Consider the following 14,599-nt stretch of genomic DNA (forward strand, 5'->3'; position numbering starts at 1 on the left):
ATTTTTTTAAGGTTGTATAGTATTCCATCATGTGTATATATATTTTATATATATATACACTACGTATATAAAAATATGTATATATATACACACTACATTTTCTTTACCCATTCATCCTTTGATGGTCACTGAGGTTGCTTTCATAACTTAGCTATTGTGAATAATGATGAAATAAACACGGGAGTGCAGATATATCCTTGGCATGCCCATTTTAATTTCTTTGGATATATACCTAGAGATGAGATTGCTGAATCATACAGTAATTCTATTTTTAGTGTTTTAAGGAAACATCATGCTACTTCCTGAAATGTCTGTGCTAATTTATATTCTCACCAACAGCACAGCAAGGTTTCCTTGTCTCCACATCCTTGCCAACACTGGTCATCATTAGGCTCGAGTGCAGTGGTGCTATCTAGCTCACTGCAGCCTCAAACTCTTGAGCTCAAGCGATCCTCCTGCCTCAGCCTCCCGAGTAGTGAGGACCACAGGTGCCTGTGACCATACCTGGCTAATTTTTGAATTTTTCTGTAGATATGGGGTCTCTCTTTATTGCCCAGGCTGATCTCCAACTCCTGGCCTCTAGCACTCCTCTGGCCTCAGCCTCCCAAAGTACTGGTATTACAGACATGAGCTACCACGCCTGACCAGGTTATTTGTTTTTATGCTATTGAATTGAGTTCCTCATATATTTTGAATATTAGCCCCTTATCAGATGTATAGTTTGCAAATATTTTCTTCAAATTTGTGAGTTGTCTCTTTATTGTTTCTTTTGCAGTGCAGAAGATGTTTATTTTGATGCAATCTCATTTGTCTATTTTTATTTTTGTTGCCTGTGCTCTTGGGGTCCTGTCTGAGAAAGTGTTGCCTAGACCAATGTTGTGGAGATTTTCTCCTGTGTTTTCTTATAGTAGCTTTGCAATGTCAGGTCTTATGTTTAAGTCTTTTATTCATTTTGAATTGATCTTTGTATATGGTGTGACATTTTCATTTAGGACAATTTCTGGGTTATCACTGGCATTCCCTGGCTAGGGACAATGTGGTCCCACACAAAAAATAACTAGCTCAACCTGTTGATTTTGTAGGGATGTCAAAGTCCAAGGTGGGAAACATGGTCTTCTATGGCCACATATTTTAACCTGAGACAATAATTCCAGTGCCTGACTCTGACCCCAGTGTTCTCATTTTTCTGATACAAGATGTAATAGCGAGTAAGAATGCTGGTTCTGGGGGGTTGAAATTCTGACTCTAGTACATTATATCTGTGTGATGCTGGGCAAATTACTTATCTAAGATTCAGTTTCTTTATTTACAAAATGAGAACAATCTCTTAGTACCTACCTTCTATGGTTGTTTTGAGAATAAAAATGAGTTGATTTACCTGCAAAATGCTCAGAATAGTAGCTGGTACATGGGGAACTCTCCTAAATGTTGGATGTTATTGCCCTTAATATTTGCACGTAGCTGTTTTCATGAAGATGGATGGCATTTTTTTTCTTATTTAAGTGGTTTTATTGAAGCATAATGAACTTACAGAAAAGTTCACATGTCATAAATGTGTAACTTACTAAATGCCCACCAGTGGGGTCCACTCTCATTACCAGCATCCAGATCAAGATGCAGAACATCAGCATCACCTATGAGGTCCTGTTCTGCTCTCTACCAGTCCCTCTTTCCCTCAGAGAGTAAACCATTATTCTAAATTTCAGGAGCATAGATTCTTTTTTGCCCATTTTTATGCCTTGCATCCATGGAATCATAGAACATGTACTTTTTTGTGTCTCTGGCTTTTTTCCCTCGACATTGTATTTGTGAGATTTCTCCTTATTCCTTTCTTCCTTCCCCGCTCCTTCTCCCCTCATTTATTGGATGGGAATAAAGTACCAGTACAGTGGGAACATATCTGGGTAGGTGACTTCATCAGAGTTTTCAAACAGGCGAGTAGGCTACTTAGATTAATGAAAAGAATTTGGTAAAGGCTTGCTGCCTTATTAAAATCATGACATTTAAGAATCCAAAGGTGGTAAGAAGTTTGGAATTAGTGATTTGGACATTGAGGGAGGAATCAAAGAAAGAGACAGATGATAAGCAAAAGCCTAAAAACATAGCATCATTTCTAGGGCAATGACTCAAAGCGGGCCTCTTGCTAGATGGAGTCAGTTCAAGAGAGCTCTTTCATTTCCCACTAGCATTTTCCCTGATCATTTTATTTATGATAATTATGGCTCATTTCTTTATATAATGAAAATGCATTCTAAAGTACAAGTTGTTTTCCATGAAATTGATTCCCAGAAAAATGATTTTCTGCTGCCTGCTCACACTTTGGAAGGTGCCCTCAAGTGACCCCACTGCTTCCTTCTCCAAGCAGCCCTCCCTGCAGACCTGTTGGTACGTTTGTGCAAAAAGTAAATAAAAGGCTGCTGACTTGAACTGATATTCATCTTTATTTTTATACTCCGGTGGGAGCCATTGTCTGCTTAACTTCAGGACATCAAGGTAATTCATTCTTTCTTTCACTATAGAGGCAAAACAAATTCTGACCTAATGGTTCCACCAGGCAGGAAGTCACCAAAGAGTTGCCAGACATTTTAAGAGAGGTATCACATAGAGAAATAAAGAGCATAGCCCTGCAGAGAGATTCACAAATGATTTAATCAGTAGTTCAGACAGGTAGGGAGAGTTGTGAGCTGTCATCTATCAGGTTAGTCTGAGTTATGCATCTGGATCTAATTTGGGGCTGAATTTAGATGTGCTACTAGATGAGACTATGTGCTTGCTTAAGGTGACTAAGATGAAGTAATAGGAAGGGATATTTTTTCCTAAAGACATAATGAAAGAAATTGCTTCTGAGCCAGGTCTAAAAGTAGAAAAAACAAAGGATTACACTAGTTTCTTTTTCACCTTTGCAAGAGTTAATATTTTAGTGTTATATATCATTGTAGAGTTGGACATTATCAGTATTCTTATTATTGCCCAGATATGATCTCCCTTGTTTTCTTGGACACACCCATGGCTTCAACCATTGCCTCGTATAGGTGACTTCCAAATCTGTATCCCGAGCACATCTCTTCCCCTGTGCTCTGTATCTGTATATCCAAATGCTGGCTGGGCTTCTTCATCTGGAGATCCTTCCATTGTCTCATACATAGGAAATACGTCTGAAGCTGAGCTCATAATTTCTACTTTTTTGCTGTCAAATCCATTTCATCCTGTATTATCTGACTGGATGAGTGGTGCTACCCACTCCCTAAAGCTCAAGCTAAAGATATGAAAGAATCTAAAATTTAAATAAAGGAAGAGATATTTATGAATCGGACAACTCAACATTGTTAAGATGTCAATTCTTCCCAAGTTAATTTATATATTTAATAAAATCTCAGTTTAAATTTCAGCAAGTCACTTTGTAGATATTGACAAGTAATTCTAAAGTTTATATAAAAAGGCAAAAGAATTCAACTAATGCAAACAATACTGAAGAGAAGCAAAGTTAGAAGGCTCATTCTACCTGATTTCAAGACTTAATATAAAGTGACAGTAATGAAGACAGTGTGGTACTGGTGAAAGAGTAGACATGTGGATCAACAGAACAGCATGGAGAACCTGGAAATACACCTACACAAATACACAGAAAGAGTCAATTGCTCTTTTACAAAGGTGCAAAGGCAATTGGATAGAGAAAGAAGACTTTTCAACAAACAATACTGAAACAATGTTGGGCAAAACATCTACACAGACATTATACAGAAGAAAATACTTGGATGGCAAGTAAGCATATGAAAAGATGCTCAAAGTCATTTGTCATTAGTGAATTTTAAAGTAAACAAAAATGAGATTCTAGTACACATCTATTAGAATGGTTAAATCTAAAAACCTAACAAAGCCAATTGCTGATAGAGATGTGAAGCAGCAGAAATTCTCAAATGTTGCTGATGAAAATGTAAGTGGTATAGCCACTTTGGAAGACTATTTGACAATTTCTCACAAAGCTAAATATAGTCCTAACATATTTCAGCAATCATGCTTCTAGGTATTTGCACAACTGATTTGAAAACCGATGTCCACAGAAAACCCAGCACGTGAATGTTTATAGCAGATTTATTCATTATTACCTCAAACAGTAAACAACCAATATGTCTTTCAATAGGTGAGTGGATAAAAAAGCTGTAGTACATTCATGCAATGGAATATTATTCAGTGGTAAAAAAGAAGGAGCTATTAAACTGTTAAGCTACACAAAGAAATGTATACATCTTCAATGCATATTGCCAAGTGAAAAGACAGTCTGAAAGGACTATGTACAGTATGATTCTATTTGTGTAACATTCTGAAAAAGGCATAATTATAGAGATGATAAATAGGTCACAGTTGCCAAGGGCTTGGGAGGCAGTATGGTTAAATAGGTGAAACAAAGGAAATGTTTTAGCGTGATGAAACTATCCTGTTTGGTTCTGTAATGTGAATACATGACACCACATAATTGTCAAAACCCATAGAACCTTACAGCAGTAAGAGTGGACCTTGATATATACAAATTTAAATAATCATGTAAGAGGTTGAAGGATCCCAAGATGGGACACAGAACATGAGAAAATAATCTACCTGTATTAAAAATGTATGAAACAACCTCACTGAAAGGGCTGGGAAGAAAATGTTGACTAAAGGCAAAAGTATGTAAACAATGTACTTTGGTTGATAAAGTTGTTTCCCATGGAGGTATGTGTTAATTATAAAACCACTATATATGTATACAGGAATTGAATACTTAAGTAAATGAATGGCAGATGGTAGGAGACATTTTCTCACTTTTGGAATGGTTGGTTATAGACAAGCAAAAGGAGAAGTCTATAATAATCCATTTGGTAACGGATTAGAGTTGGTGACATCAGTATGAACTCGTGTTTACTTTACCATACAGATGGTTACATACAGAAATATTTGTGTATGTATTCATAGGTTAGTATGCATAAATATATTTGCTTGTGCTGCCAGCTGAAAGGGCCCTGAAACAATAACATCCCAGTAGTAACAAACACACCTGGCACTCAGATCTTGGTTTCTAACACCATTCTTCAATAAAAGAAACCAGAGCTCTTCAGGAAAAAACGGTTGATTCTAGGACTGGTGCAGAAACTAAGAGGAACCCAGAGTACTTTGTAGTGCCAAAAAGGAAGCGCTAAACACCAACCCCCTGCCCACTCCCCTCCCCCACACATAATGTTGAGAGTTTGTAAATGGGATGAAAGATCCAATTGAAAGAGGTTCGCATGACCAAGGTTGGAATAAAGTAGTATTTTATCATAATCCAAAGTATAAAATAAATATCCAAGAGTCCATCCTGATATATAAGTAAATAGAATAGATAAATCTCCCATTCAAAAAATTCCAAATTATTTGTATAGATACCTCAAGGAGGTAAAGCATAGATTCCCACTCCTTAAGAGTGAAGTGTGCACAGTGGCTTTCATTTAATGAGTACAGTATGGTAAGGGGAGCGAAAAGAGTCACTTTAAAGTGGAGAACCCTTATAAACACTACCTCATTCAGGTGATCACTGTTAATATCAGCAGAGATAAGTCACGTTGATAGTATATCTTTGATATGATGTGATGAGAATAGGACTTTACCTCTGTGGTCTACCCTCTGAAACCTATATGTATTAGGCTGTTCTTGCATTGCTATAAAGAAATACCTGAGACTGGGTAACTTATAAAGAAAAGAGGTTTAATTGGCTGTACAGGAAGTATAACACAGGTATTTGCTTCTGGAGAGGCCTCAGGAAGCTTCCAAACATGGCAGAAGGTGAAGGGGGAGCAGGTGTCTCACATGGCAGGAGTGAGAGAGAGAGTGAGGTGCCACATACTTTAAACAACCATATCTTTCGAGAATTTACTATCATGAGGACAGTACCAAGGAGATGGCACTAAATCATTCGTGAGAGATCCGCCCCATAATCCAATCACCTCCCACCAGGCCCCACCTCAACATTGGGAATTACATTTCAACATGAGATTTGGGTGAGGACAAGTATCCAAACTATATCACCGTCATTCTAGTCTCATTGTGAGAAAAATATCAGACAAATCACAATTGAGGGAACTTCTACAACACACCTGATCAGTACTTCTTAAAACTACGAAGGTCATCAAAAACGAAGTCTGAGAAATGGCCCAGAGGTGCCAAAGAAGAGGTGGTAGTTAAATGTAATGGGGTGCCCTAGATGGGATGCTGGAGCGGAAGTAATACATTATGAAAAACTAAGACAAACTGAATAAATTTTATAATACAATTTTCTAATATACCAATATTGGTTCATTAATTGTGACAAATGTAACATACTAATGTAAGATAATAACAGGATTCTGGGCATGGGGAATATAGAAACTCTGTACTATCTTTGCAATTTTTCTATAAGTCTAAGAGCATTCTAAAAAAAACTTATATTTAAAAAAGCATACCTGATAGAGAATTCCCATTTAGCATTTTCTCATGGTTCCCTACATCTACTGGGTATTACCAACTCCTTGACATGTGTACGAGGTCCTCTGTAATCTGACCATTCAAAACCTCCTAAACCTTGTCATCCAGTGCTCTTCATATAACTTCTGTCCTCCAACTATAACAACATACACAAGGTTCACCATAAATGTTGGTCTCATTCACACTGCTATATGTTGGACATGATGTTCCCTCTGTGTGGAATTCATTTCCCCCATTGTCTCCCAGAGAGTCACAAAATCCTGCTAAGATATCTTCTTGCCTGGCTTCCAGGCTGTAGTCAGCAGGAGTGAAGGCAGGACTTCAGAGCTTTGTGTGATCCTGGGAAGCATGACATTCCATTTCTTCCCTCCCTCTAACACTCACAATCTTAGAACCATGATCCATTTTGGGGATTATCAAGATCCACCATGCACCTGACCCCTGTTGATGTCAGTCACCTCAGGCAGACTAGGACCCAGATCATTCCTTCTTGCCTGGACTCTCATCTCCATGTGGCTCCACACTTCCTTTAATTTGACATCATCTCTCACTCCTCCCCAACTCCTGAAATCCATCCATTGTGCTCTTTGGAACTCATCCCAGTCCCCTGCATCTTCATCCTCTTTTCTGAATGTGGCCTTTCCCTCCTTGCTGTAATGAAAACCTGTTTCTCCATGGAGGAGCCTGTTTCTCCTGTAGCCTCATCAGTGATAGCCTTTTATTCCACTTAACATCTCGTATTATTGAACTTTGAAGCGGAAAAGTTTTACTTTCTTCTCACTGATGGCTTTAAGCCATTCTCTCTCTCTCTCCTTCTAGCTCTGAAGTACTTGTCATCAGATTAAAGCATCTGCTAGCCTTCTCTGTTGCAACCCTGTGCAGGTGACATCCCCCAACCCCAGGACACTGTTTTTCACTCTTTGAAGATGTGGGTCCTGGATTACCATTACCCTCTCCAGCAATGCCTGGTGGCTTCCCTGTCTACATGGATGATCATGTCATCTTCTGTTCTACCACAGCATTCCACTCCCACAATCACACCCTGATCTTGTCATTATCAATAATTGTATCCCCTCTGTATCACATTCCTTTCTGATCATAATCTCTGACCTTTCTGCTTCTGTCTTCTAATGCTCTGAATCCAACAATTATTTACCACACTGGGACCTATAATACCTTGGTCTGATCGTCTTCTCACTACCCCTCATGCCACTCATATTGTCACTTTCCTTCTTATCAGTTTAGATTCTGTAGAACATCTTATAATTACCACCTTGCCTCTTTTGCTCTTATCTCCCTTTAGTGTATTCACCTGGCCAAATTCCAACCATAGTTAATTAAAACTTTCTATCTATCCTTTGCCTATTCCCAGACAGCTAAATGAGGCTAGAGAAAAACATGCCACCATGTTGACTGGTTTTATTTCCATGACTACAAATCTCAAGTGAGCTCTTACTGATATATTTCCCTAATCCATTATCTCTTCTACTTTCCCAGATGACGATTTCATACCTTCTTTTCTCAAGTCATAGAATATAGGGTCAGACTGCCTAGGATGGCATCCAGGCTTTTGCCACATACTAGCTGCGTCACGTTACCTATCCCTCAGTCTTCATGCCTCAGAATCACCCTCTGTAAAGTGGGAGTAATAATATTAACTACCTCATAGAATTATGAGTAAATGAATCATGCATGTGCACTACTAAGATCAGTCCCTGCTAATAGTAAGTGCTAAAGAAACGGTAGCTGGCTTCCTATTTTACATAGAAAATAGTAATACTCAGAAAAGAGCTTTCACATGCTTCAACTCCGCTACCAATACATCTACTGATACAACTCCCAATACCAATGCATCTGTAATGTATCATACACTCTTCTTTCTATACTTTGTCTGTAAATGAATTAAATGACTGGTACATCTTATTATCTAAGTCAATCCCCTCTGTATTCTCCTCTGTATTCCAGTTGTTCTTCTCCATCAGCATCTCAAGGCCATTCCTCTGGCAGGTTTACCTTCTCTCTCCTGAATCATCAAATGTTCCCTCTCTAGTGGATCAAATGTATAAACGTGCCATAATATTTTCCACCTTGGAAGATTATTTTTTTTGATACTATATGTTCCTCCAGCTACCATCTCATTTCTCTGCTTTCCTTAAAAGCAAATCTCAGGCCTAGTGTGGTGGCTTACACCTGTAATCCCAGCACTTTGGGAGGCTGATGGGGGCAGATCATGACGTCAAGAGATAGAGACCATCCTGGCCAACATGGTGAAATCCCGTCTCCACTAAAAATACAAAAATTAGCTGGGCATGATGGTGGGCACCTGTAGTCCCAGCTACTTGGAAGGCTGAGGCAGGAGAATCGCTTGAACCCGGGAGGTGGAGGTTGCAGTGAGCCAAGATGACACTACTGCACTCCAGCCTGGTGATAAGAGTGAGACTCAGTCTAAAAAAAAACAATCAAAAAATGCCCCAAAACCTCAAATATCTTCTGTACTCACTGTCGTCACTTTCTATTTTCCAATTCTCTCTTGAATCAACTCTGCTGAAAGAGGTCACCAGTGACTTCCATGCTGTTAAATCCTAACAATTCTGATTTCACTCTTCAGTTTCTGGGACGTCATGGAATCTATTCTCCTTTGATCTCAGCACCACTTTTTCTCAGTCTCCTTTTCAACTTTAAAAAGTTGAGGCATTCAGGGCTTAAGCCTTGCTCCTCCTCCTGTCTGCCTTCTTCTTCTTCTAAATCAGTATTTATCCTTTAAAGGGGCTTATCTGATTTCATGATTTTAAATACCATCTTCCAATTTTATATCTGTACCCTGGGCCTCTCGCCTGAATTCCATATATGTATATACAACTGCCTATACCAGATCACCTTGTTCATCTCTAACAGGCATCTCAAACATCAAGATCTTCATAGCAGGCTCTGGCTTCCCACCTGTGCCACCCATATATGCTCTTCTAAATGTCTTTCCCATATTAATAAATGACAACTCCATTTCTCAAGTTTCTCAGGCAAAAAGCTTTGGAGTCATCCTTGACTCCACTCTTTCATACATACCATTTCCAATTTATGTGCAAATCCTGCAGGCTCTCCCTTCAGAATCTGTCCAGAAGCTAACCACGTCCACCATCTGTCACTACCATTCTGCCCCAAGCCACTGTTGGCTCTGGTCTGTTAACTCACTCCTGTTTCATACCTTCTCCTCTATAGTATTCTCCCATCAGAATTCAGAATGATCTTTGACAAACTTCAGTCAAATCATGTCACTCTGCTTCTAAAAGCCCCTCAGTTGCTCATTATTTCACTCAGAGTACAACTCAAGATCTGTTCACACTCTGCAAGGCCCTCTGCAGTCTGGCCTTTGTCTATTCTCTGACCCCATGTCATGCCACCCTTCCCTCTCTTTCTACATCCCAGTCCCACTTACCTGTCTGCTCTTTCTTGAATACACTCAGCAAGCTCCTTTCTCAGGGCCTTGCACTGGCTCATTTCTCTTTCTGAGATATTTTCATCCTTTCCTGGATACTCTTTGTGGCTTGCTTCTTCCTTCACTCAGATCTATTTAAATGTCACTTTTTTTTTTTTGAGATGAGTCTTGTTCTGTGGCCCAGACTGGAGTGCAGTGGCATGATCACAGCTCACTGCAGCCTTGACCTCCTGGGCTCAAGAGATCCTCCCATCACAGCTTCCCAAGTAGCCGGAACTACAGGCATGTGCCACCACACTTGGCTACATTTTTTTTGTTTTTTGTTTTGTAGAGATGGGGTCTCACTACGTTGCTCAGGTTGGTCTCAAATTTCTGTCTTCAAGCAATCCTCTCCCTTTGGCCTCCCAAAGTGCTGGGATTATAGGCATGAGCCACTGTGCCCAGCTTATGTTTTCAAATAGTTCTTCCTTAACCACCTTACAGAAAAAAAGCAATCCCTTCTACACCTTGACCCCATCACTCTCTTCCCTTTAATCTGATTTTTTTTTCCATAGTGCTTATGGGGCTGACATGTCATAAGTGTATGTTTATGATCTCTTTCTCTCTCTCAACTAGAATATATGCTGCATGAGGGCAGGGACTTGTTCACTGATATAGCCTTAGAACTGAGAATGGTCCCTGTCAACATTTGTGTGGGTGAAAGCTGTGCATATTCTTTAAAACACAGAGTACATGTTACTTCCTAAGGGAAGCTTACCTAACCCCATACCTGCTAGGCCCCTAGGCTGGCTTGGCCATTCCCTCCTCTGTGCTTCTCTGCATCCTGCACTCAGAGCTTCATAACTGCCTATTTGCTGTCTAGCTCCCTCCTCACCCACACTGGTCTGCAACTTCTGTAGGCATGGACTGGGTCTTCCTCCTCCTACTGGTATCGCTGGTGCCCAGCACAACACCATAGAAATGTTTACTCATAGGACAAAATGATGAAATTCACATGAAAGCACTTGGCAAACGTCACTCAAGAATCATCCTTTCATTTATTTTTCAATTATTGCTGATTCATCAGATTTGTCTAGAACTGTGAGGCTTCTTTTTGTTCACCACCACAGTTTTATCCAACCCTCCTCTGTTAATCATATTTTTCCATGTCCTATTTCCTCTGTGCTTCCAAAATCGCAAAATAATTTTCTCTGGTTGATGCTATTTTTCTGTATAAAATGGTGAAGGTCCTGGACTCACATGCCTGGGTTCTCTGGGCCCAGGTTGGGCAAGAAGGATTTGTGGGGGCTTTGGGAGCCTGCAGCTGGCAGCACTGGCATCGAATGAGATGAGGTGGGGGACATGGCCAAACACCTTCAGCAGTGGGCATGAGAAGGCTGTCATCCCCTCTGCTGCTTTGAGAGGCAGTTTGGGGAACCGTTCTCTGAGAACTCTCACTGGTAGCCTCATCTTGCTTGAATCTACGTCTCTCAAGACTTGGATTAGCATTTTTCCAAGATTTCTCCATAACATATCTTTCAAAAAATCCACCGGAATATGTATGTGAAATACGCTTCCTTTAACTTTGGTTTCTCTACCAGTCCCTGCAAAAAAAAAAAAAAAATGAAATTATTATCTCCAGTGAGACTGATTTTTTTCCTTCCCTATAAAAGCTTTTATCACTATGAAAAAAGAATCACCAGCCATGGTAGAAGCTGATAAATTATTGCGGTTCTTTACTGAAGTCGATTTATCGTTCTAAATACAAGGAAAAAAGGGGTGAGGGTTGGGGAGAGAGCTCTATAGAAATCTTTTTGGCATTGTGAACAATCACATGCTCTGATTGCTTTAACGTTCTATTCTAATAAAATGGAGGGTCTCCTTTAAGAAATCAGGCTTAAAATTGTTAAGTCATCGTGTGTCACTCTCCCAGAGAGGGCAAGTCTTAGAATTAAAAACAGCTGGAAGAAGGGGGCAGTACAGTAACATGAGATGTCCCAGTTCCAAAGCCTCCCAGAACAGACGCAGGCCAGAGGAGAGGCAGGAAGACACGTGCTGTGCTGGCTGACTACTGAGAATTAGGGCAGGGAAAATTGGGGGACTCATTGGAGACATTTTTGCTCCCAAATACACTTTTTAACTCTTCCATGGCCAAGTGTAACCTGGAGTTCACAGAGTCAAAGTCGTAAGGAGAGGCTGGAGTCATCTCTGGGTAGGAATAAGTTAAATATTGGGCAATTGATTAACACCCGAATTTCATCATTGTGGCCCAAGCTTCTGACGTACCCATCACCTCTCAGGGAGCCAACACTGTCCTCCACCTCAATAATTTCTGACTTTTGTCGCTTCTACTGTGAGAGGCTGGAGGTAGAAGTCATATCTCAGGAGAAGGATTACCCTTAGTGCTCCCTCCAGGCCCTGTGCAGCACTAGCTGTGTGACCTTGAGTAAGTTTCCTTACCCATGAGCCTTATCCTGAGCATAAACGAATTAACATCTATGAGGCATGTGGAATCGTGCTTGGCACGTAACAAGAACTGTGTGTACATTAATAAAATACTTTTTTTTGCCTTGTCCAAATACTATTTTTCCTATTCCTTTGTATAAACATTTATATTTAACTGTATTTATTTTAAAAGAAAACCTTGTCACTGCTAAAAATAGAAAAGCAATATTTTTGTTATAAAAAATGTTTTCACTTTTAGTGAAAACATTGAGAATGAAACAATGTTAATAGATTCCAGCTCTATTCCATGGCCTGTGCTAGGCTCTTTGCCTGAGGCCACTTTCTCTCTGTTAAAAAGTGAGATTAGCAAATGTTTAAGCACTAAGGATACAGTAGAACCAAAATTAAACTTTCCCTTTGATGTAACCGCAAGGATCAAGGAAGGGAGAAAGAAAGTGCCTAATAATTTTCTTATCGTAAGATTCAATAGGCCAGACCAGGCTGGAAAACACAGCAAGGCTCCATCTCTACACAAATTTAAAAATAATAAATTAGCTGGGTGTGATGGCGTGCTCCCATAGTCCTAGCTCTCCAGAGGCTGAAGCGGGAAGATCAGTTGAGCTCAGTGGTTTGAGGCTTCAGTGAGCTATAATTGTGCCACTGCACTCCAGCTTGGGCAACAAAGCAAAACCCTTTCTCAAAAAAAGATTCAATATTATTATTATTTTTATTTATTTTTTTGAGATGGAATCTCACTCTGTTGACCAGGCTGGAGTGCAGTGGTGCGATCTCGGCTCACTGCAAGCTCTGCCTCCCAGGTTCAAGCGATTCTCCTGCCTCAGCCTCCTGAGTAGCTGGGACTACAGGCGCCCACCACCATGCCCAGCTAATTTTTTGTATTTTAGTCGAGACGGGGTTTCACCATGTTAGCCAGGATGGTCTCCGTCTCCTGACCTCGTGATCCGCCCTTCTTGGCCTCCCAAAGTGCTGGGATTACAGGCATGAACCACCGTGCCTGGCCGGAGTCAATATTATTTAACGTCACTTAAAAATAATCCCAGTGCCACTAATATGTGTATTTGTCCTCTACTATGGGAAAACTCACCTGTGCATGCGCATACACACACACACACACTCACACACATTCACTCACTGAAGTATATGTTGGGAAAATGGAGGCTTAACCTCACATCTCTCAGGGTCGAATGCTCTCTCTCCACTCCCAGCTCTGCCAGGGAGCACATGTTGCTGGGCATCTCTTGGATCTCAGAAGCTGTTTGTCCATTGGATGCTGCCTTATTACCATGGGTTAAGGTTGCCATGGGGCAGGCAGCACTTCTGATGGTGCTGTCCCCCGTTCACCATGACATTGCCTCCAAGATTCAGACTCTACTGAAGGATTGGAGGTAATTTAAGAGAATTACAACACAGCTTTAGATCATATCACTTTAAAGCTATTTGAAAATTATGATTATCCCTAAGGTTCTCGGAGAAAGCATCCCCTAAATTAATTTTCTTGGCAAGAAATTCCTCGTCGGCATCCCCTCTTCCCCGACCAACTCCCAGTTCCCAACTTCCCTCCACTCTTCCCAGATGCTCTCCTTCATCAAACCAACCAACTGATCAACTGATTGACCAGCTGATCGACCAACAGACAGACCAACCGAGCCTTCTTCTAACTCCCACTGTATTTAACGCCGCCTCTTTTCATGACATTTAACTGGCAATCCACAGGAACTGGCTTTATCGCAGCGCCTTGTTTATGTCCTCCGTCCACAGCAGCCATTTCTTCAAGTCCAGTTTATTCAGTTGAGGTTAATATCTTGAGGAGCTTTAGGCGGGACAAGCAGTGATGGAAGCTGATCTCCCAGTTTTGCAGAGAAGAGAACTTACTTGCTCCAGTTCCCACTGAGTGGTCCCACCACCCAATACCCACTGGGCTTTGTGACAGGAAAAGGTAAGTCAGGGAAGCTGACCCAGGGTATTTTATGGCCAGACAGCCTGAAAGTGGTTTCTATTACTTCAGCCCACGTCCCCAACCTTGCGGCACTCAGCTACAAAGGCCCAACTCAACCACAAAGGAGGTTGGCAAAGCTGCCTTCTTGGGTACCCAGGGAAAGGAAATGGAATGGTGAATACACAGCATTGTCTCTGATTCCTTGCACTGGTTTGTTTAAAAGTGAGATGATGGCTGTGCTCCTATCATTTAAATAGAGAACCTGGATTTCCTGCCTGATATCTGATGATCAATTAATTATGATGCAATTC

At 40.6% G+C, this 14,599-nt stretch overlaps 1 protein-coding gene across 1 annotated transcript in view; it reads left to right on the forward strand.

Moving 5' to 3' along the window:
• The window catches only part of FER1L6 (fer-1 like family member 6), a 268,075-nt gene that overhangs the window by 14,286 nt on the left and 239,190 nt on the right, over positions 1–14,599 (forward strand). The window lies entirely within an intron of this gene.

The sequence above is a fragment of the Homo sapiens genome, chromosome 8 (assembly GCF_000001405.40).
Source record: "Homo sapiens chromosome 8, GRCh38.p14 Primary Assembly".
Classification (NCBI taxonomy): domain Eukaryota; kingdom Metazoa; phylum Chordata; class Mammalia; order Primates; family Hominidae; genus Homo; species Homo sapiens.